The sequence below is a fragment of the Homo sapiens genome, chromosome 20, assembly GCF_000001405.40.
Source record: "Homo sapiens chromosome 20, GRCh38.p14 Primary Assembly".
Classification (NCBI taxonomy): domain Eukaryota; kingdom Metazoa; phylum Chordata; class Mammalia; order Primates; family Hominidae; genus Homo; species Homo sapiens.
The window spans coordinates 38,671,153-38,691,861 of record NC_000020.11 but is presented as its reverse complement, the minus strand read 5'-3'; the positions used below and the strand labels follow the sequence as shown (position 1 = coordinate 38,691,861).

General features: G+C 45.5%; 2 annotated features.

Annotated features, from left to right (window-relative positions):
* Positions 5,719-5,919: a silencer, noted in NCBI's record as "peak4211 fragment used in MPRA reporter construct". NCBI's record gives its function as "represses an SCP1 promoter by STARR-seq MPRAs in K562 erythroleukemia cells {active_cell/tissue: K562}" and the evidence as "EXISTENCE:reporter gene assay evidence [ECO:0000049][PMID:32103011]".
* Positions 17,296-17,405: a silencer, noted in NCBI's record as "silent region_12901". NCBI's record gives its function as "represses an Ori minimal core promoter by ATAC-STARR-seq in GM12878 lymphoblastoid cells {active_cell/tissue: GM12878}" and the evidence as "EXISTENCE:reporter gene assay evidence [ECO:0000049][PMID:35858748]".

Genomic DNA, 20,709 nt, shown 5'->3' with positions numbered 1-20,709 from the left:
GTGAGCTATGATTGAGCCACTGCACTCCAGCCTAAGTGACAGAATGAAAATCTGTGAAAAAAAAAAGCAATGAGATACTCCACACCAATAGAGACCAAAGAAGGAACTTGGAAGCAATGACGACAAACACAAAGTAAGCATTTGTTGTGCTCCATGCTAAGTTACTTATATGCCAGAACTCAACTCATTTAGCCCACCCACCACCCTTATGACATAGTTGCTATCAGATTCCCCATATTACAAATGAGGAAACAGAGTATGAATGAGGTGTAATAACTAGCCTGAAGTTGCACTGCCAGCTGATAGCAATGTCTGTAACCTTGGGAGGAAGTAGATCCCAGCTTAACTTTCCTTCCATTTCACTCCTTTCTGATCTCCTCCTTTCACCTTGAGTATCCAGTATCTTTTTGAATTTTTAGTATGAGTTGGCTTCTTAAACTTACTGGTTTACATGCCCCTATGTTTGCAAAAGGAGAGTACTGGGTTTCATTTTTTAGCTTAAAACACTTTTTTGGATTTTCCAGCTAGGGCATGGTTTGCTTCCATGAGGCAAAAAATGGGCTATTTGGGGAAGACCTGAGGTCTGACTTGCTGCCCATAGTCATACTGTGGCTGATTCCTGAGGAGGGGGCAAGACTTGAATGCTTGAAAATGGACCTCTGAGATTGTCACATGCAAGGCTATCTCAGGAAACTCCTTGTGTGTTTGGCTGATCTGAGGTAAAGATAATAATCAGAAAGCCCCCAAAGTCAAGCTCCAGCTTTGCTGTCAACTTTTCATGACCTTGGGAAAATCCCCTTTTCTCTCTAGACCATACAGGGAACTCATGGAGGCCCCATGTGGTCACACAGGGCAGATACTTGCCACATGTTATTAATTAAGGATGAGTTTTCTCCATCTATTTTTCTTTGGAAATAAGAAGTGCTTCATTACTTTGTAGCATAGCCTGATCTGAGTGCCTGAGCCTGTGTTTCACACTGAAGATAACACTCAGTGTACAAGGAGATGACAGAGCATGTGCTACTAGGGAGATTAACACTGGATGGGAAGAAGGTAGATGATTGGCAGATGGAGGAAGGCTTACACAGCCTTGATAAATAAGAGTTGCCATACACTGTAACTCTTTGGGGGAAGCTCAGAGATCCTCCCTAAGGCACCCTTCCCCCTCCCCCCAACACACACACATTTAAATCCTCAAGGACATAATTCCTGAGCTACAGAACGGGGCTTTTTTTTTTTTTTTTTTTTTTTGAAATAGAGTCTCGCTCTGTCACCCAGGGTGGAGTCCAGTGGCACAATCTCAGCTGACTGCAACCTCCGTCTCCCGGGTTCAAGCAATTCTCCTGCCTCAGCCTCCCGAGTAGCTGGGATGACAGGCACGTGCCACCACACCTGGCTACTTTTTTTGTATTTTTAGTAGAGACAGGGTTTCACCGTGTTAGCGGGGTTTCACCATGTTAGCCAGGATGGTCTTGATCTCCTGACCTCGTGATCTGCCTGCCTCAGCCTCCCAAAGTGCTGGGATTACAGGCGTGAGCCACCGCACCCAGCCAGAACAGGGGCTTTTGATGGAAGGAGATAAGATGGCTTCACAGCTCTTCTTCCCCATGACTTTCTCTGATGAGCCCTCTTTGGGGCTTCCCTCTGTCCTTATGGATAGCTTCTTTCTTGGCACATCCTGAGGCTGGTGCTCAGGGCCTCTTTAGCTTGGGGGAGAGAGCAGTTGGCATGGTTTAGTGAGTATCACAGCAGTCTGGTAGATATGACTTAGGGTATGAGCTACAGAATGGAAAAGGGTCTTCTTTTATTTCTTTATTTTTAAACTTATTTTTATTTTTAAAGTAAAAATAAAGATGGCATCTTGCTATGTTGCTCAGGCTAGAGTGCAATGGCTATTCATGGGCACAATCATAGCTTGCTGCAGCCTTGAATTCCTGGGCCCAAGTGACTCTCCTGCTTCAGCCCCTTGAATAACTGGGAATACAGGCATGCACCACTATGTCTGACTGACAGGGATATTTTGAAGAGAGTACCAACTCATAGAGAGATAGAATGTGCTCAGCAGTGTAACCTTTGCAGATAAAGAGAGATCCAGGTTCAAATTCGGGCTTGATGACTCTAGTTGTTTGACCTTGAACAAGTTGCCTCAGTGTCTTCATCTGCTTGGGAGAAATGGGTTTGAAAGATCTGTTAAACCTCCAAGTTGACAAGTCAAGTAGGCTGGGCCTCAGAAGAGAGAATAGGACTGAAAAAATAAGCATAGGAGCTGTTGTCTATGGATGATCTTGTAAGTCATGGGAATAGATGAGTTTCCTGCAGGAAGGTTAGGAGAGAGATGTGTTATCTTGGGCAAGTTATTTAACCTGTGTTTCAGCTTCCTCATCTGCAGAATGGGGATGATAATAGTATTTACCTATTGTTCTGAGAATTGGATTTAGATAGCTCATGTTCAAGCACTTACAGTCTGGTAAATGCTTAATAAAGAAGGATGATATTATTAATCCTTACCCAGCACTTCAAGGCTCATGTAATCATCCCCATTTTACAGAGAAAGAGACTGAAGCTCAGAGAGTCTAAGGTCTCATGAGTTGTAAGCAGCACATGACTATCTATAAACCCATGCCACACTGCTCCTGTTCTTGTAGGAGACTACCATATAGACACAGTTCTTAAAATGCAAGAGGTGAGCTATATGAATCTGGCTAGAAAGGGCATGGCTGATCCTCCAAATGGCAGTGGTAGGAGACTCTGGGTTCAGAAGAAGCCATGGTAGGGTAGAAACTACCATGATCCTTTTAGGATAAGTTCCAAGGACAAACTCCATATTATGTGCACACCCAGTTCCCTATCTCCCACATTTAACCCCCAAGTTGATAAATGTTTTCCGTGATTCAGTTCCTCCCAGTTCCAGAATCCAATGAAGCAAGGTTCGTGCAAGGAGTGAGTCCCATTTGCAGCCTCAGATGAGCCAGTGAGGCAGAAAATGTAGATAATAAAGAGAGTTAATGACAGGCCTCTCCAGCTTCCCGAGCTGGCCCTTGGGGAGGAGTCAATGAGCTCCTGTCGCTGCTGTGCCGGATTCCCGATTTCTTCATCTTCTGTCTCCTGCACAGTCCCCTTCCCTGCCTGGCTTGCAGCCTTGGCCACTGATTGCAGCAGTTCACACTGGGAAACAAGACCACAAGAGATCTGGGGTATCTCTAGGGCAGTGGTGAGATGTGGGTGGCAGGAGGCAACTTGGTTTTCTTAGCAAAGATTGTACAACTTCCCCAGCTCCCCAGAAAACAAACTTCCTTAGGAATCACATGGAGATGACATACAAGGAGGGTCCCACCCTGGAACTCATTGTTAATACCACTAGTAAAAACTGTCACTGAAGTGGGAGAGTTAGAATATGTCAAGCGCTACACCGAGAGTTTTATATATAGTACCTCATTTAGTCCTTACAACAGCCTTTCAGTGATTATATTATTATTATCCCCATTTTACAGATGAGGAGACTGAGCCCATAGAAATGACATTATTTTCTTAAGGTCACACAACATGTAGTTGGCAGATCTGGAATTGAAATCCAGGCCAATATTACTCCAACGTCTAGGCTGGATTGCCTCTGTCCTTACATATTGTCTTGAAAGACAATCAGTTTCATTAATTTATTCAAAAATTACCCAGTCTGTCAGAGAAATGGTCCTAAGCTAGGTGTCTCTTACTTCCTTTGTTGGGAGCTCTATGCCTTTAGCAATAAAACCTTGGGTTGTGTGCTTTCTTGATACTAATTGAGTTGCATGATTGACATTCTAGAGTTTGTGGTCAACTAGAATCTTCAAATCTTTTTCATGTGGACTAGGGTTAAATCAGTGGACTGTATTCACACAACACACAATGGTTTCAAGAGGTTTTACTACCCTGGGAACCTGATATCCTTCCCCTCGGTAGTTCAAAACAGAGATATTGCATTTAGAATGGTTTTCACTTTGTTTTCTGTTTTTACTTTTTAATCAAGGTATAAGTACACAGTAAAGTGTGCTTATTTCAAATATATATCTAGTTCAATTAATTTTCACCCATATGGAAATAGAGAACATTTTCCCCATAAGATTCCTATTCAACTTCTCTACCCCAGAAGTAACCACTATGGATTTCACTGTTTTAATTTGAAATGTTCATTTTTGCAAAATATCAACTTTTACAAAAGGAGATTTAAGTCTAATAGAATCCTTTCATCCCAGCAATTAACATTGTTCATTCTTCCTTTTTTTTTCAGTTGTTGCTAAGTTTTGAAAAGCCCTTTTACCTTATGATATCTGATGACTACCCACATTTATGTTTTCTGGGTTTTATCTATGTTTAAAAAATATTTTATTGCAGCCATAAAAAGGAATGAGATCATATCCTTTGTAGGGACATGGATGAAGCTGGAAGCCATCATCCTCAGCAAACTAACACAGGAACAGAAAACCAAACACTGCATGTTCTCACTCATAAGTGGAAGTTGAATATTGAGAACACACAAACACAGAGAGGGGAACAACAAACACCAGGGCCTGTTGGGTGGTGGGGGGTGAGGGGAGGGAACTTAGAGGACAGGTCAGTAGGTGCAGCAAACCATCATGGCACATGTATACCTATGTAACCAATCTGCACGTTCTGCAAATGTATCCCTTTTTTAAAAAAAAGAAACAAAGAAAAAAAAGAAGCACAAAAATATGTTATATGTTTATATTATTTACACCTAGGCATTTAATTCAGTTGGAATGTATTTAATGACTGCTCTGGTGTGAAGGTCAAAATAATTTTTTCTCATCAATTATCTTTATACCATTATTGACAAATTGTTCCCTTCTAAGTTGATCTTTGAAAGTTCTTTTATTATAAATTAAATTCTGATGTGTAACAACTTTCCCATCCTTAAATTGGGTTATTAATGATGCCTATCTAACAAATGAGGGCAAAAACCAGATTATGTGTGATAAGGTAAGTGTAGCATCTTAAGACAGTTTAAGTTTTTGCACACAGTGGGTTCTCAACAAGTGTCAATTTTAATCCATCCGCCTACCCCCCAGACCCTCTCCCACACATATTTAAGGCACTGTAACTATGGAAAGAACTTTCTAATAAAACTGTAAAACAGGCTAACCCTGGAGATCAGATGTGCAGCCAGAAGTCAGAGCGCCTCTGATTAACATGTTTTTGAGAGATTCTATTTCTTTCCTGAGGACCCAGATCAATGACTCCCAAATGCCAGTTTTGAAGCTGATGACAATGCATGGTGATGTTTCCTGTGTTTCTCAATGAAATTAGAAAAAAGGGCAAACAAGGAAGTTTTTACAAAACCATTCTAAATAACTGTTCCTTATTCTGAGATTATGGCTTTCCTACTTATTAAGTTTTAAAATGCCTTTTGTTTTATTCAAGCATTGGAGAGAACAGGTGATAGTTGTTACTCTTAAATGTCTTCGCTTGGCATTGTCCTTGATGGCTTGCAATTTTTCTGGTTCACAAAATCCTGAAATCTCACAACAAGATCAATTGTGAGGTTGACTGCAACATCACAAGAAAAGGATCCAACAATTTCGGTTGACATTTTTCCCATTTTTCAGAGCACCATATACTATACATAGTAGGTGGTCAGCAATCATTCATTCGTTCAATCCACAAAAGTTACTAATCACCTGCCTGGAAGTTTGTTTGTCATTGGCCAAGAAGAAACCCATAAAGCAGGGCAAACTTGATTGGGCTGAGAACTGTGGACCAGGCATTTACCTCTGGGCGTTGTGCATACATTCAACCGCTCCTCTCGCCCAGCCGTCAGCACCTCGGACAGCTCAGCCGCAATTACCCGGGTCTCTGAGGAAACCTAACTAAACATAGACAAAGGCATTTTTACATTATCTTTTCTCCGCTTCATTATTTAAACAAGCGCCTCCTGTTCATACACAAGCCTTCCTCTTCGTATTCTTAAACCTCCCTCTCAGATTGTTTGCCTCGCAGTTTGCAATTCCCTAGCAAAACGGCGAGCTCCAATCTGAGCTGCGGAAATGCCAATTTTAATTAAAAGTGCAATTTTCAAATCCACCCAAAGCTCAGATAGGATATGGCACACTTGATGCCCTGTGATCTTTCTGGCTGCTTTGTTGATTAAAATGGGTGTCGCTCTAAGTGCTTTGTCAAATCTTCACAAAAAGGAGGAGAAATTGACATTTACACCTTTATACCGATAAGAAAGTGATATATTACATTCACCCCTACTGCCACAAAGGCTTGATTGTGGCTTAAGGGCAGAATTAGGCCAAAAGGTCCCCAGTGATAGCTCTGTTTTGATGCTTCAACCTTGAGGGCTCTTTCTTCAGCTGGTGGTGATGGTGGTGGTGGTGGTGGGAGTCGCTACACAATGTTCCCATTAGCTTTCCTACCCCTCTCTTCCCACTCAGTGCCTCTGCAAGGACTTTGAGTTTCTGGGGTAATTGTTCTCTAATTTTGGTGGATACAAGGACAATCTAAAAAGCTCTCTTAAAATCTAGATTCCTTGGCCCCACTTCTAGAGATTCTGACTCAATAAATAGGTTTGGGATGTGGTCCCAGAATCTGAATTTTAATGAAGCACCAGATAATTCTGATGAAGGAAGTCTTTAGCTCATACTCTGAGAAAATGTGTTCTGGTAATTCCCAGAAAGTTGTCCACAAGGGTCTGAGCTATGGAGCGGGCCAGGGATTAAACCCTGGGCAGGGAATCTAGAGGCATGACCCTGTCTAGCACTGACACTTGCATTCTCATATCCTTGGACAACTCACTTCCCCTCTGTTATCATTTATCATTTTCTATCTTTATAAATGAAGGATCATGCAAGAGACACACTTAATCACTTAATATGCAAAGATCTTCAGCAAATCAGTAATAAAAAGGGAAACCACCTGATACAAAGATGGATAAGTGATATGAATAAGCATTTCTTGGAGAAGAAAATACAAACAATGAACAAACATTTGAGAAAATAACCAACCTTAATAGTAATCAGATAAGTGCAAATAGAATAAAATAAGTTTTGGTGTTGTTTTTATTTCTGCTGTTTTTCTGCTTTGCTCATCTGCTCATCATATTGAGGGAAGAGAACGTTGTGAGTTGATAGCAGCCAGTGTAGGGTGTAGAGAAATGAGAATGTCCTATGTCATTGGTGGAAGTGTGAAAGACTACAACATCTTGAGAAAGTAATCTGTCAGGACTTGTTAAAATAGAAAAGTGCATTCTTTCACTCACAGTTTAGCTTTGGGGATTTATCCTACACAAAGAAATGCATTAGGACATGTAGATATAAGCAATGGATGTTTCCTGAACATTATTTGTAGTGGCAAAAAATGGAAATTACTTAAAAGTCTATCAACAGCGGACAGGTTGAGTAAATTCTGCTACATCCAAACTGGGGAATATTATACAGCTATTGAAAAAAAAAAGTCTATTAGATCTGGAAGGGCTGATCTTGAATGATATCCATGATCTATTATAATGTGAAATGTCAAATCACAGAGTAATGAGCGTAGCATGATCCCATTTTTCGAAACAAAAAAGAAGAAAGCTCCAGACTGTTTTTGTATATATGTGTATGAGCTCCAGACTGTGTTTGTACATATGTGTATGAGCTTGGAATAATGTGTGGAAGAAAATATGCCAGACTATTAATATTGATTTCTTTTCTTTTCTTATTTTTATTTACTTTTTGTGTGTGATGGCTTACTGCAACCTCAACCTCCTGGGCTCAAACGATCCTCCCACCTCAGCCTCCCAGTAGCTGGGACTGCAGGTGCACGCCACCACATCTGGCTAATTTTTCTATTCTTCTTAGAGACCAGGTCTCTCTATGTTGCCCAGGCTGGCTTTAAACTCCTGGGCTCAAGCAGTCCTCCCACCTCGGCCTCCCAAAGTACTAGGATTACAGGAATGAGCCACCAAGCTCGGCCTTAATATTGTTTTTTGTTTGTTTGTTTATTTTGTTTGTTTGTTTGCAACATGAGATTATAAGGGAAACCATAATACTTTCTATATTCATTTCCACATTGTATAATTGTTCTGAAAGAATATATTACTCTTATAAATGAACAACTATAAAGTTGGCTTGAGAGCTAATCAAAAGCCAAAAAGTCCTAAGGGCTGGATACAAGAGACCACTGAGATCCTTCCCAGCTGCTACAACCTGGGAACACCCATCTTCTTCCCCAGATTGGGATCAAGGTCCATTTATGTTAAAGATTCAGAGTCACCTGGAACCAGGCAAGATCCTCATGGCAATGTTCATTCTAGTGTGCCCACTGCAGAGTCCATCTAGGAGAGACCCTGCCCTGAAGTTGGATTTTGGGGCCAGATAGCACCTTACAATCCTAACCCATCCTGGGGACTTGCAAGTGGAAAGACAAAGCAATGCTGTCTCTCTTCTCAGGTTCTCCCAGAGCATCACCTGACTCCATTTTACCCTGTGAAACTCACACCCAGGCCCATGTGGGGTCCTCTGGAAACTAAGGAGAGATCTGAGAGGCCAAAATAGATGCCCCTTTATCAACTAAGATGAACCCAAACGTTAAGGAAACAAAGTTACCTATTGGTTAAGGGTTCAGGTCCTGACTGGCCTGGCACATTTCTAAATTCCTATAGCTCTAAGCTCCCTAACAATAGGAGCTATCAGACCCCTCCTAGCTCTGATTTACAACCCAGACCACTACAGCTCTGACTAGACAGAGGACTGAGCTTGCATTCTTTTATCATAAGCAATTGCAGACCTTAAGCCATTTTCAGCTAGCTTATAGAGGCTGTGTGCAAACTATCTTTCTGTCCTATAGTTCACCTTTTGATATAAAGAGCCAAATTCTACCTCATTTTAATGCTAAAACCCCACCCCAAAGTGAACATGGGATGTATGTTACATACATATTTACCTAGTGTGCGTGGATGTGCTCAGCTCCCCTCATGAATGTATATACCTTTTCCCCTAAACCTGCTGACTATGTATGACTCTATTGTGTAACATGGACGCTGTGAGGCAGAAAATCCAACCTGTCCTTTCTCTCTTCAAAGAGAGAGCACCTTTAATCCATGCTGGAGACTTTCTCTTCCCAGCTTACAAACTGATATTACCTATAAAGCTCTTTTTTACTGTTTAGCCATCTGGTGGTCTTCTGGATGACAAAGCCATGCCATATCTCATGGAGATGATCTAAGAAGCATCCAAAAGAACTTCAGATCCTATGTGGCCCTTGGTACTGCCATTGTGGGGTTGCCTATTCACCACACAGAAACACAGCCAAGAAGGATGCTGGCACCAGAGGGTCCCCTGAGAGCCACCCTCAGCCCTCCCATTGGTGTGCCAGGCTTCTCACAGTTATGTTCAGAGAAGGACCCAGTGACTCAGGCTACAATGATGCTTTTTTGCCTCTTTTAACAAAAATATTGAAATATATCACAAGCTTAGAAACATATAAAAGATATAAATGTGCACAATTTATTTAAAAATTCTAAACATCTATGTGAGCACCACTCAAATCAAGACATATATGTCGCCTGAGACTCCCCATGTGATCCACCCCAATCATGTCCCTTCCTCCCCCTGAAATAAAACACTATGGTCAACCATTTTGTTGCTTTCTTTTATATATCTACCACCTTAGTAAATATCCCAGGACAATATTTCAGCTTTATCTGCTTTGAATTTAATATAAATGAAGTCATGTTGTATGTATTTGTGTCAATATAAAAATTATCCATGTTGTGAAGTGTACTGTGGTTCATTCATTTTCACTACTGTATAGTATTCTGTTGTATGATTACACCACAATTACTCATTCTGCCTTTGATAGGTTTTTGGTTGTTTCCAGTCATTGCCTATTACAGACCATGCTGCTCTGATTATTATGTATATGTCTCCTAATGTTGTATACATACAGAAGTATCTCTAGACATAAATGGAATTGCTGGGTTGAAGGGCTTGCATATCTCCAAATTTACTACATAGCGTCCAACTGTTTACCCAAATGGCTATACAAATTTACACTCCCACCAGCAGTGACAAAGTTCTCAGTACTACACTATCTCACCAGAATTTTATGGATGCTCTTTCTCTTCTAAGAGTCTTTGAAGATACTGGTCCTTCTTCTCACAGTATTTCCTTTCCCTATTTTTTATTTATCTTGTTAGCTCTAGGTCATCATTAAGGACTCTTCCTCTTGTAGCCTTCCCTGACTCCTTCAATCTTGGCTATGTGCCACCCCTGGCTCCCACAGCCCCCTACATTGTCCCCTCTATCATAGGTATTAGACTGTATTGTTATGCCTGCTCCCTTCCCTATCTTGCCCCCCACCAAACTGGGGACTCTCTGAAGGCAGGGGTGTATCTTGCTCCAGTGCAGTGCCTGGCACACACAGGTGCTCAATTCATGATTGTTGAATAAACAGGTAAAACTAATTTCTCTTCTCAACCCATGGTTCTCCTCAACCATCAGGAAGCCAGGTGAGTATTAAGGCTTTTCAGAGAAATGTTGCCAAAACAATAAATAATAACTCTGGGGAAATTAATTGTTAGATCTGGCTCTTTCATTAGTAGCTCATCAAAGGACTGTGAGCCCCCAGTGGGACTCTTAAAAATAAGTAACCGATCAGCATGGAAGGAAGGGCATCCTCTTCCCAGCACCCCCTGCCACTACCACCACCAACACACAAACAGACACACCTCCGCGAATTGCAGGGCCTGGCCATTTAACACAGTTATTACCAACTCCCACTTAGTGAATTATGAGCAAGAGCCTCGAGAGAGCTTTCAAAGATCTTCAAATGGATGTTTAAAAGCATGCGATTGCTCAGTCAGGCTCAGCTAATGGCATTTATTACTTGGAGGATAGGGTATTTACATAAAGCTGGATTTTTATTATAATGGTCAAATCGTTCCTGAGAGGGAGGGTGGAAGGGAGAAGGAAGGGTGAAGGTGTAAGAATCAACTTCAATTCCATTTGAGCAGATGTCAAATCCTCTATTCCCACTATAAGGCTGGTTCTCTCAGATGTCAGCATAACAATCACTAGGGCGGGTCTTGAGTAGGGTGACCCTGGCACAGGAGTGGGCAGATCAGAGCATGGCACTGTGTTCCCCTAGAACAGAATACTCAGGACCCTGGACAGCTCACAGTGTCCGCTGAGGATCTGTTGGTCTGTTCTCTAGACAGTTCATTCTTCCTAGGGTCCTTCCACTGATGTTTTAGTGGAGGTCCCTCATTTATCCCCCCTCTAGTCTGGAATGGAGACAACCAAGGGCATTCACTCTCTCCTGGCTTCACCAATGGTCCTAGGGGTCCCCATGTACTCCTCTGAATGACAAGGTGCGAGATGAAGATGAGTTGAAGTTAGTTATTATTGGCCTCAAGGAGCTTGCATTAGTTGTCTATTGCTGCATACCAAACTACCTCCAAAACTTAAAGGCTTAAAACAATAATGACATATTATTTTCTCATGATTCTGTAGATGAACTGGGTGATTCCTCTACTGGTCTTGCCTGGATAACTCATGCAAATACAGTTGGCTGGTGGATCAGTTGGGGCTGAAGGATCAGGCAGTGAGTACGTGTTTAATGGAGGAGGTGATTAGGGGATGACTCGGGAGATGAATGTAATGTATGTTCTCCAGGTAGGAAAGACTGAGAAGAAAATTTTAAGAAGAGGAAGCAACATGAGAGCAAAGGTATGAAACAACAGGCGGCTGTTTGAGAGCCATGGGAACTGGCAAGTGGTTCCGAATGACCAGCTCATAAAAGAGAGTTGGAGGAGAATGATTTCAGATAACTCTGGGGAGGCAATTAGGGCATTGGGTATCATGTAGGACAATTGGCCTTACCTCATAGGTGTTGAGGAGACCTGGAGTGATAGGTGTTATTTAAATGAATTATACTACATTCCAGGCACAATGCTGAGCATTGGAGATGCAACATTATCTCACTTAATCCTAGCCATTATCACCATTTTACACATGAATAAATTGAGGCTTACCCAGGATCACACACACAGGTGTCTGGCTCCAGAGTAGTTGTTTTAATTATTATATTCCATAGCCCTTCTGAAGGGGCTTAGAGTTGGGAGTGTAACAGGTAATGAGGAATGGAACAGGATTAAATTTGCATATTAGCAAAAAAAAGGTTGAAAGAGGTGTGGGGAATTCCATAATTAAACACAGAGACTGCTGGGTTAAACAAAGTTTATCAGAAACCTGGTACTGCTGGACTTCTCAGAGCCTTTAGTATGCTAATGTGCACTAGAAAGTAAGCCCTTTTATTGACAGCTCTATTCCCAATACCCCAAATAGTGTCAAACATATAGTAGATGCTCCATAAAAGTGTACTGAATTAATAAATGAGTGAATGAATTTATGTTGGGAAGCTGCAAAGGCTTACATATTTCAAAATTGTTTATAGAAATATGAGGTGAGAGCTTGCCATACACCAGATCCCAGGCAAAGCACGAGGACACGAAGATAAGTTGACATGCCCATGCCCTCAGGAAGTGGCTAGTCAGAAGGTATTTTCTCATTTTACACAGGATTTAATTTTTATGTAATTCTTAACAATCTTGTGAGGTTTTCTATCTCATGAGAAAAGTAAGGCTCAGAGAGGTGACATGACTTTCCTAAGGACTTAGAGCCAGGATGAAAACTGCCAGCACCTTGCCTGATGGATGTTACCCCTGCATTGGTGGAGGAGAGAAAAGTGGTGGATGGCTTGGAAGTTACCACCCCATCTATACACTAGAATCCTGAACAACCACAGGCCAGGACCACACTGTCCCTTCAGACAGGGTACCTGAGATTGTCACTGTTTCTTCCTGCTATGGGAGCCACTTGCTTCTCCGTGGCTTGACCACCCAGGAGAATTCTGAGGCAGGGAAGCAGCTAATGCGAGGCTGTGACTAGATCTACCTAGGCCCCTCAGTGGGTGGACTTTTCCTACAGAAGGCCAGTCCATTGCCAACACAAGCCCTCTTGCTCTGGGTGCAGGGGAGGTGGTGGGGGAGTTCCCTCTATCATCAAAGGGCCCTGTATCCTGTGGTCACACAGTCACACATACAGTGTGACTATATGTGATAGTCCATACATGCACAGAGACACATGCACACACATACACAGAACCTAGACTCTATGTGCACACACACATAAGCACATCCCTAACAGAGCATGCAAGTTCATGTACACGCGTATTCTCATATACAGAGAGCAAACATACAAACGCACAGAGCATGCCCACATAGGTGGGTTTGGACACACATGCATAATCACATACCTGATAGCCATCAATCACCCCATGCTGCAATTCCTCTCTGGAGGGAGAGAGTAGGAGGTAACTGGAGAGGAGAGGGTGCTGAGGCAGAGGGGCCTGGGGGAACTAGTGACATGCTGTCCTTAGACATGACAGCTCTGGCCAAGGCTGGCTGTTTTAGAAGGTCTCTCCCTTCAGCCACAGGTTGTCTGTTGTACCATCAGTTGGGAGGCCCTAGCAGACCTGGCCTCTTGTAGATTCTAGCTCTTGTAACAAAGTAGTCATCTTGACAGGTGGAGGAACTTAAAAGAGGTTCTCCTAGGACCAGGGGCACTTGTACAACCCCATTTAATACTCCTGAAATAAGTTGAATTAACCCCATAATTTTAGGAGCCAGAATCATCCCATCACTTATTTCTTTGAATCAAATGGGGTCAGTTTTAAATCCCCATCCACCTGGCCAAGAAGGAAATTAATTTGTCCTAATGAAGCTTCTTCACCACACCCCTACCCCTGCCAGTGGAAGAAAGGTCACAAGGGTTTATCCAGAGCAGGTCATGTGGGGAGAATCCTCTTTTCTTCCATTTCCACTGGCCACTGCTGAAATGCTCATTGTCCAAACTCACATAGTCCCTTGAAGACAGTTGCTTCTGAGGCTTGAATGTCAAGCATGAGCTGCTGGGTCTGGAAACCCTGATGCCCTGGACCTTTGCTGGGTCTACCCTTCCTAGGGGCAACTTCTCTATTGGCCCAGGTAGACAGCTGGTGTTGATGGCCAGCTCTCCTCATTCTCTCCATCCTTTCATTCACCAAATGTTTACTGAGGGCCTCCAAAGGGTCAGGCACTGGGCAGACAGTGATGAACAGGACTATCTTCAAAGAGCTCCCAGGAAAGGCAGACAGTAACTGCATAATAACCCTCAGATTGGCAATGTCTGCCTACCCTCTCCTCCCAGATGGGGCTCTGGAGGCATTCAAATCAGTCCACTTTTCTTTGCCATTGCACTCTGTTGGGCATGAGCTGATCATCTTCAGCTGCACCCAAGTCTTTTAGGGCCCTCCTACATGAGAGTGAATTATCTGCCCCATTCCCCAGAGGTTGGGCAGCCACCACCTGATGGAGATAATAGCAGAGTTCCCTTCATCATTTCTCTAAGGGAAGCCCAGACCCTTCCTATAGGGAGGCTTCTAGGTGGTCTTCCTCAGCACTCCAGGGTTCTAGAAGTGAGTGTGCAATTCTCTCTCTCTCTCTCTCACACACACACACCCCACACCCCAAATGAGATTCTTACAATAAGACCCTAGAGCATAATCAGTTAAAAGAACCATTGAAATATGCCTTCTTTTATAGCCCTGATTTTCCCACACAAACTAATCTACTCCAGCAGACTTAATTCAAATGAACTGCACGTTCTCAGCACTATAAAAGTGACTTTATCACAGTCAAGAGAGAAAGATTAGAAGAAATGAATATGTGGGTGATTGAATACAGGATGTCCAGTGACAGGGGATGGAGGATGCGGATTTGCTATCTTGGTTCAGCCTCGGTTTATGATGATTGAGAGGGCTGCCCTCTCAATGGGCAGAGGCAGAATGGCCACAGGGTAAACACCGCTCCAGCCATGCCTGGCAGCCACCATCTGGCACTGAGAATGGCCAGCCTGAGCTGGCCTGGCCTCATCCAGCCTCCTGCTGTGGTCAGCTTAAAGGAAGCACAGAGGTGGGATCTGGAATCAGCCTGCCTGGGTTTGGACACCAGCTGTCCCACACAATAGCTGTGTGGCCCTAGGTAAGCTGGTTTACCTCACTACGCCTCACTTTCTCCATCTGGAAAATGGGAATGATTACCGCGAGGGCCTCACCAAGTTTGCTCTGAAGATCGAATGTTATAACACACACATGAAGTGGAGTGCTGGTCCCACAGTCGAGGACTGGCCAGGTAGACTTAGTATCAGCATCTCTCTACTCAGCCAGACCTCTGCTGCTGTTCTGGGCCTGGCTGGGGCAACATGGAGCCTCTGACCCTTTGAGAAGAAATCATCTAAGTTAGGAGGAGCCTTGGACTGGGTGTGGGGATGCTTTTGACCCTTTCCACCAAGCCATAGCATCCATGTACTGTGCTGTGACTTGGTAATAGTGCAACCACCTTAGGTTCAGATCCTGGCCCTGCCGTTTACTAGCTGTGTGAATTTGGGCATATCATTCAACCTCTCTGGGCCTCATTTTCCTCATGTGTGTAAATGGAGCCACCAAGAGTCCTTACTTCATAGGGATGACATGAGGACTAACTGAGATAACCCATCTGCAGCAGGCAACACAGCCCTGGTGTGAAGGAGGCGCTCAATAAACATGGGCTATTATTAATCCATTATCCTGATGGTATCTCACGGTACTGCTCCTCACATTATGACTCTAGATTTTACCTACCAGGCTGTTTCGTTTTGAGACGGAGTCTCACTCTGTCACCCAGGCTGGAGTGCAGTGGTGTGATCTTGGTTCACTGCAACCTCTGACTCCTGGGTTCAAGTGATTCTCCTGCCTCAGCCTCCCAAGTAGCTGGGACTAAAGGTGCGCACCACCACGGCTGGCTAATTTTTGTATTTTTAGTAGAGACAGGGTTTCACCATGTTGGCCAGGCTGGTCTTGAACCCCTGGCCTCAAGTGATCCACCCACCTCGGCCTCCCAAAGTGCTGGGATTATAGGCATGAGCCACTACACCCGGCCTAGATTTTATCTACTAGGTTGTGAAGCAACTATCCATCCATTCATGCATTTATTGAGCAAATTGCTATTTAGTGCTCAGCTCAGAATGCAGTGATGAACCAGCAAGGCCTGGACCCTGCACTGCCTCATTCATTCATTCATGCATTCTTTAGGCAGAGACTAGGCAATGGTGTCCCAGGTCCTGGAAATACTGCAAAGAACCGAGCAAAGCCCCTGTCCTCAAGGAGCTCACAGTTTTGTGGGGGAGACAGAAAAGAAACCAATAGACAAATCCAAATACAACTTTGGGTGGTCAGTGCCGTGAAGAAACAGTGGGTAGGGTATGGGGATGGGGAGGGTCTTACAAAAGGTGGTCAGCAAAGGCCTCTCAGAGGAAGGGACGCTGAACAGAGGCCTGTGTGAAACGAGGGCCTACTTACGTAGGTGTGGAAAGTACAAGGTTAGGAAGGGGGTGGGAGAACGAGGTCTCCCTCATCTGCTCAGCCCAGCAACCCTCATTCCTTCCCAGTTTCTCAGGAGACGTCCCCCCGCCCATATGGTCACGGAAGTCAGAATCTTGGGGGTGTCCTCATTTTCCCCCTCACCCCTAAACTTGACTAGCCACTGGTTCTGTAAATTTTACTCCCTAGTCTTCTTTTGCGTTCTATCCCCCAAGACCTCACCGACATTTTCTCCCACCTGGACCACGGCAGTTACCTCGTCCTCCTTGGTCCTCTGGACTCCAGTCTCAGTCTCCGCCTCCCAAAAGCCAAAAGGACCTTTGTAGAACACAAATGTGAGCAAGACCTCTGCCCACCTCCACCCCCAGCCTCCCTGCAAATCCCTGCTGTCCTCAAGAACCATCCCAGACCCTTTGCCGGAAATTCGAAGCCCTCCAAGACCTAACCCCAACCCCATCCTCGGCTCCGTGCCTCGTGGACTCTCCTCCAGGAGGCCTTCCCGGATCCCACGGGCTGGGTTTGAGGGTGCCCCGGAAATCCTGCCCGAACCTTAGATATGGGTGTCCGCATTGGATGAAGGAACGGATGGCTCCGGGAAGACTGGGCTGGGAGTCTGAGCACAATTCAGTTTAAAACTCCCTTCCCACTCCCACCCAGGGAAACAGGAAGGGGGGGCTGGCGGCGCCTACAGTTTGCATTCCTAGCGTGGGGCGAGCGCGCGACGGAGAACAAAAGGGCGGTAATGATCCGCAGCTGGGCGAGCAGCGTGTTCGGCCTGCGGAGACACCCGACCACCGGGGGTCGCCGTGCTCACTGCGCGTGCGCGGCTAGCGGGCGGGGCGCCCCGGGGCTCTGGGGGCGGGGTGGGGACGGCCTGGTGTGTGGGTGAGGGTGTGGGGGCGGGACTTGGTATGGATGGGCGGGGCTTGACGCGCGGGGGCGGGGTCTGGTGTGGGTGGGCGGCAGCGGACGCCTGGGACCGGGCAGGCGCCTGGCGCTTCCTTCCGGACCAGCTGCTCCGCGCCGCTCTGCTGTCATCAGGCGGGCGAGGAAAAGCCCCGCGTTCGCCGGTCGGCGCGGAGCCGAGCAGAAAATTGTTGATTCAGAGAAAATGAGAGCATCACGACTAAACAATGGCGGAAAGCGGCGACGACGCCGACAGGGCGTCCTAGCATCCCCTCCCTCCCGCTCGCGGGGACACGGGGAGCGAAGAGGGAGCTGAGCTGAGGGCCCGCGCGGAGAAGGGGGCGAGCGCTGCCAGCTCTGGGTTGGAGGCTGGGGGTACCGACCCCAGGGCTGCACCCTGAAGCCCTGAACTTAACGTCCCTCTCGGGTCCCCAGAGGCCCCGGATCCCGCTACCCTGGGTCCAGCTTTGAATGTTTCCGGACTTAGGGCACTGGGGTTGGGCCATGCTTTCTGACTGCAGGGGCGCATGAAACCCTGACTCCTCACCGTGGCCAGTAAGACCCCGAGTGATCAGGCTCCAGCCTCATGCCGCACCACGGCGCCCCTTAGTGTGACTCACACGTTCGTTGTCCTTTCTGTTCCTCAGACAAGCCCATCGCTTTCCTGATTCCCTCTGCCTTGGAAAGCTGTTGACCCACTCTTTGCATGACTGGCTTCTTCAGGTGTCAGCTTAACTATCACCGCCTCCAAGAGGTCCTCCCTGACCCTCTGATCAGAAGTGGAGCCCCACCCCTCCGTTATTCTGTATGATAGCGTCCTGTTCATTCCGTTCTTTTTCAAGGCGTGAAGTAATTTTGTAATTAGGTAGTTTTCCATAAACTTCATAAGATCAGGGACCTCTTCTTTACAGCTTTCCCAAGTCCCCATCTGAGTTCCTGGAAAGTCTTAGGTTCTGAGCCCACCCCTTCTCCCTCCCGAGGATGTGTTTCTCACAGCAGCATTTACATATTTAAAGCCAGGACACAGCCCTAAATTGTGTAGGGAACCTAAAATCCAAGCCTGGAAGTGGTGTATCCGGTGAGGTCATTAGGGTTGATTTTCCGAGCTAAATAATAATAGGCCAGGTGCAGTGACTCACATCTGTAATCCCAACACTTTGGGAGGCCGAGGCAGGAGGATCGCTTGAGCCCAGGAGCTTGAGAGCAACCTGGGCAGCACAGTGAGACCTCTTCTCTACAAAATAAATAAATAAATTAGCTGGGCATGGTGGCACGCGCCTGTAGTCTAAGCTACCCAGGAAGCTGAGGAGGGAGGATCGCCTGAGCCCTGAAGGTGGAGGCTGCAGTGAGCCTTAATTGCACCGCTGCACTCTAGCTTGGGCAACAGAGTGAGACCCTGTCTCAGAATAATAATAGTAATAGTCATCATCATCATAAATATTACTAACTTAGCACTCATCCTGTGCCACGCCCTGTACTGGTCGTATAAATGTTAATTCAATTCATCCTCATATCAATCTCAGCTTATTTGTGCTTTTAAGCACTGCCAGATATGCCTCCGCCAGGAGGGAAGGATATGGTGTTCGCATTAAACGGGGATTGCTGACAGGGGTTATGGGGAGGCCCAAGAAGATGCAGGGCCAGCTGAGGGGCCTGCTACTTGGTGCCCAGCACTGGAGACTTGACCGAATTCAAGGCCAGGCTCCTCTTTTTATAATGTGTGTATCTTGGGAAAGTTACTTAACTTTCTCAAGCCTCAGTTTTTGCACCTTAAACGGGGTCAGCCTGGGGATCTCCCCTCCTGGCCTGATTGGGATTCAAGTCTAAACCAAGGGTAAGAAAACATCGTCCATGTGATGGTGACTGGCCTAAAAACAATTTGCTGCTGATGATTGCAGAACCCCCTCCCCAAACTGCAGTTTAGAAGCCACACAAGCAAGTAAGTAAAGATGCCTAATGAGTAATAAGAGCAAACACTTACCTGGTTCTCACTGTGTCTTACTGCTGTGCCAGGTGCTTCACTACATTGACTGATTCATACCTCAGAACACACTTGCCGGAAAGGCATTATTATCCTCATTTTGCAGAATAGGAAGCCGAAGCACAGAGAGGTTAAGTAACTGGCCTAAGGTCACCCTGGGGGGAGTGGCAGAACTGGACTGGAACCAGGCAGCTGGGCTTCATCATCCGTCCCTTCAACCTTTTGCTGCATATCAAAAGTTAGTGTTCACACTTTTAAGAGGGCAAACTAGATGACCCAGTGGTTGCAACTCCTTTGGGGTGAGTCCCCTCTCTTCACCGAGGCCTGATTTTTTTGTAGTAAAAATCTTCTAATTATGATGACAAAGCTGAATGTTTTCAGGCAAGATCTTGTTTACTGTCATCTCATATGATTGTGTTTTGTTTTGTTTTGTTTTGTTTTGAGACAGGATCTCACTCTGCTGTCCAGCCTAGAGTACAGAGGTGTGACCTTGGCTCACTGCAACCTCCCAGGCTCAAGTGATCCTCCCACCTTAGCCTCCTGAGTAGCTGGGACTATAGGAGCACTCCACTACACCCATGTAATTTTTAAAATTTTTTGTAGAGGTGGGATCTCGATACATTGCCCAGGCTGGCCTCCAACTCCTGGCCTCAAGTGATTCTTCCCCTTTGGCCTCCCAAAATGCTGGGATTACAAGAGTGACTGCCCAGCCTACAAACAAGCCATTGTTGGCAGGGAAAGGCACATTTTAAGGATTGACACGGTGGGACAGGAAGAGCCCTAAGCTCAGAGTCAAAAGGACCTGAGCACTAACGCTGGTTATGACATGGACTTGCATACATATCCTTGCACTCCTGGGTCTCCAAACACAACAACTGGCATCATTGCTCACAGTGTGCTAGGAACTATGACAAGCATTTTATATGCATCACAATAAGCCTTTGAAGCTTGGATTATCACCCTCACTTGGAGGATGAAGAAACTGAGGCTCGGGAGTGTGGACAGGGGGTGGTCCTTAGATCCAGGAAGGGAAGCCAACACTGCTCTCTAGGCAGGGAGGGAGAGGCGGGGCAGCCTGGTCTCTTTCACAGCTAAGAATAGTTAAAAGGCAATTACGATGCTAATTTCAGCACTAATGGCTACAGCAGCTGAGAGAGCGGGAGCTGAAAGGTGCTGTTAGCAGAGAGTTGCTAGCCAGGGCCTGCAGACAGTCCCCTCTCCCTGGAGACCCCTGGGCCGTGGCTGAGTCACAGCAGAGACACTGGCTCATTAGGCCCTAAATAAAGCAGCCACTGCTCCTGGACAAGGCTCAGCTCTTCCAGGTCCTTCCGCAGTGTCCCTCAGAGTGAAGGGAGAATAGCCAGCAGTCTGGGAGGGCACTGTGG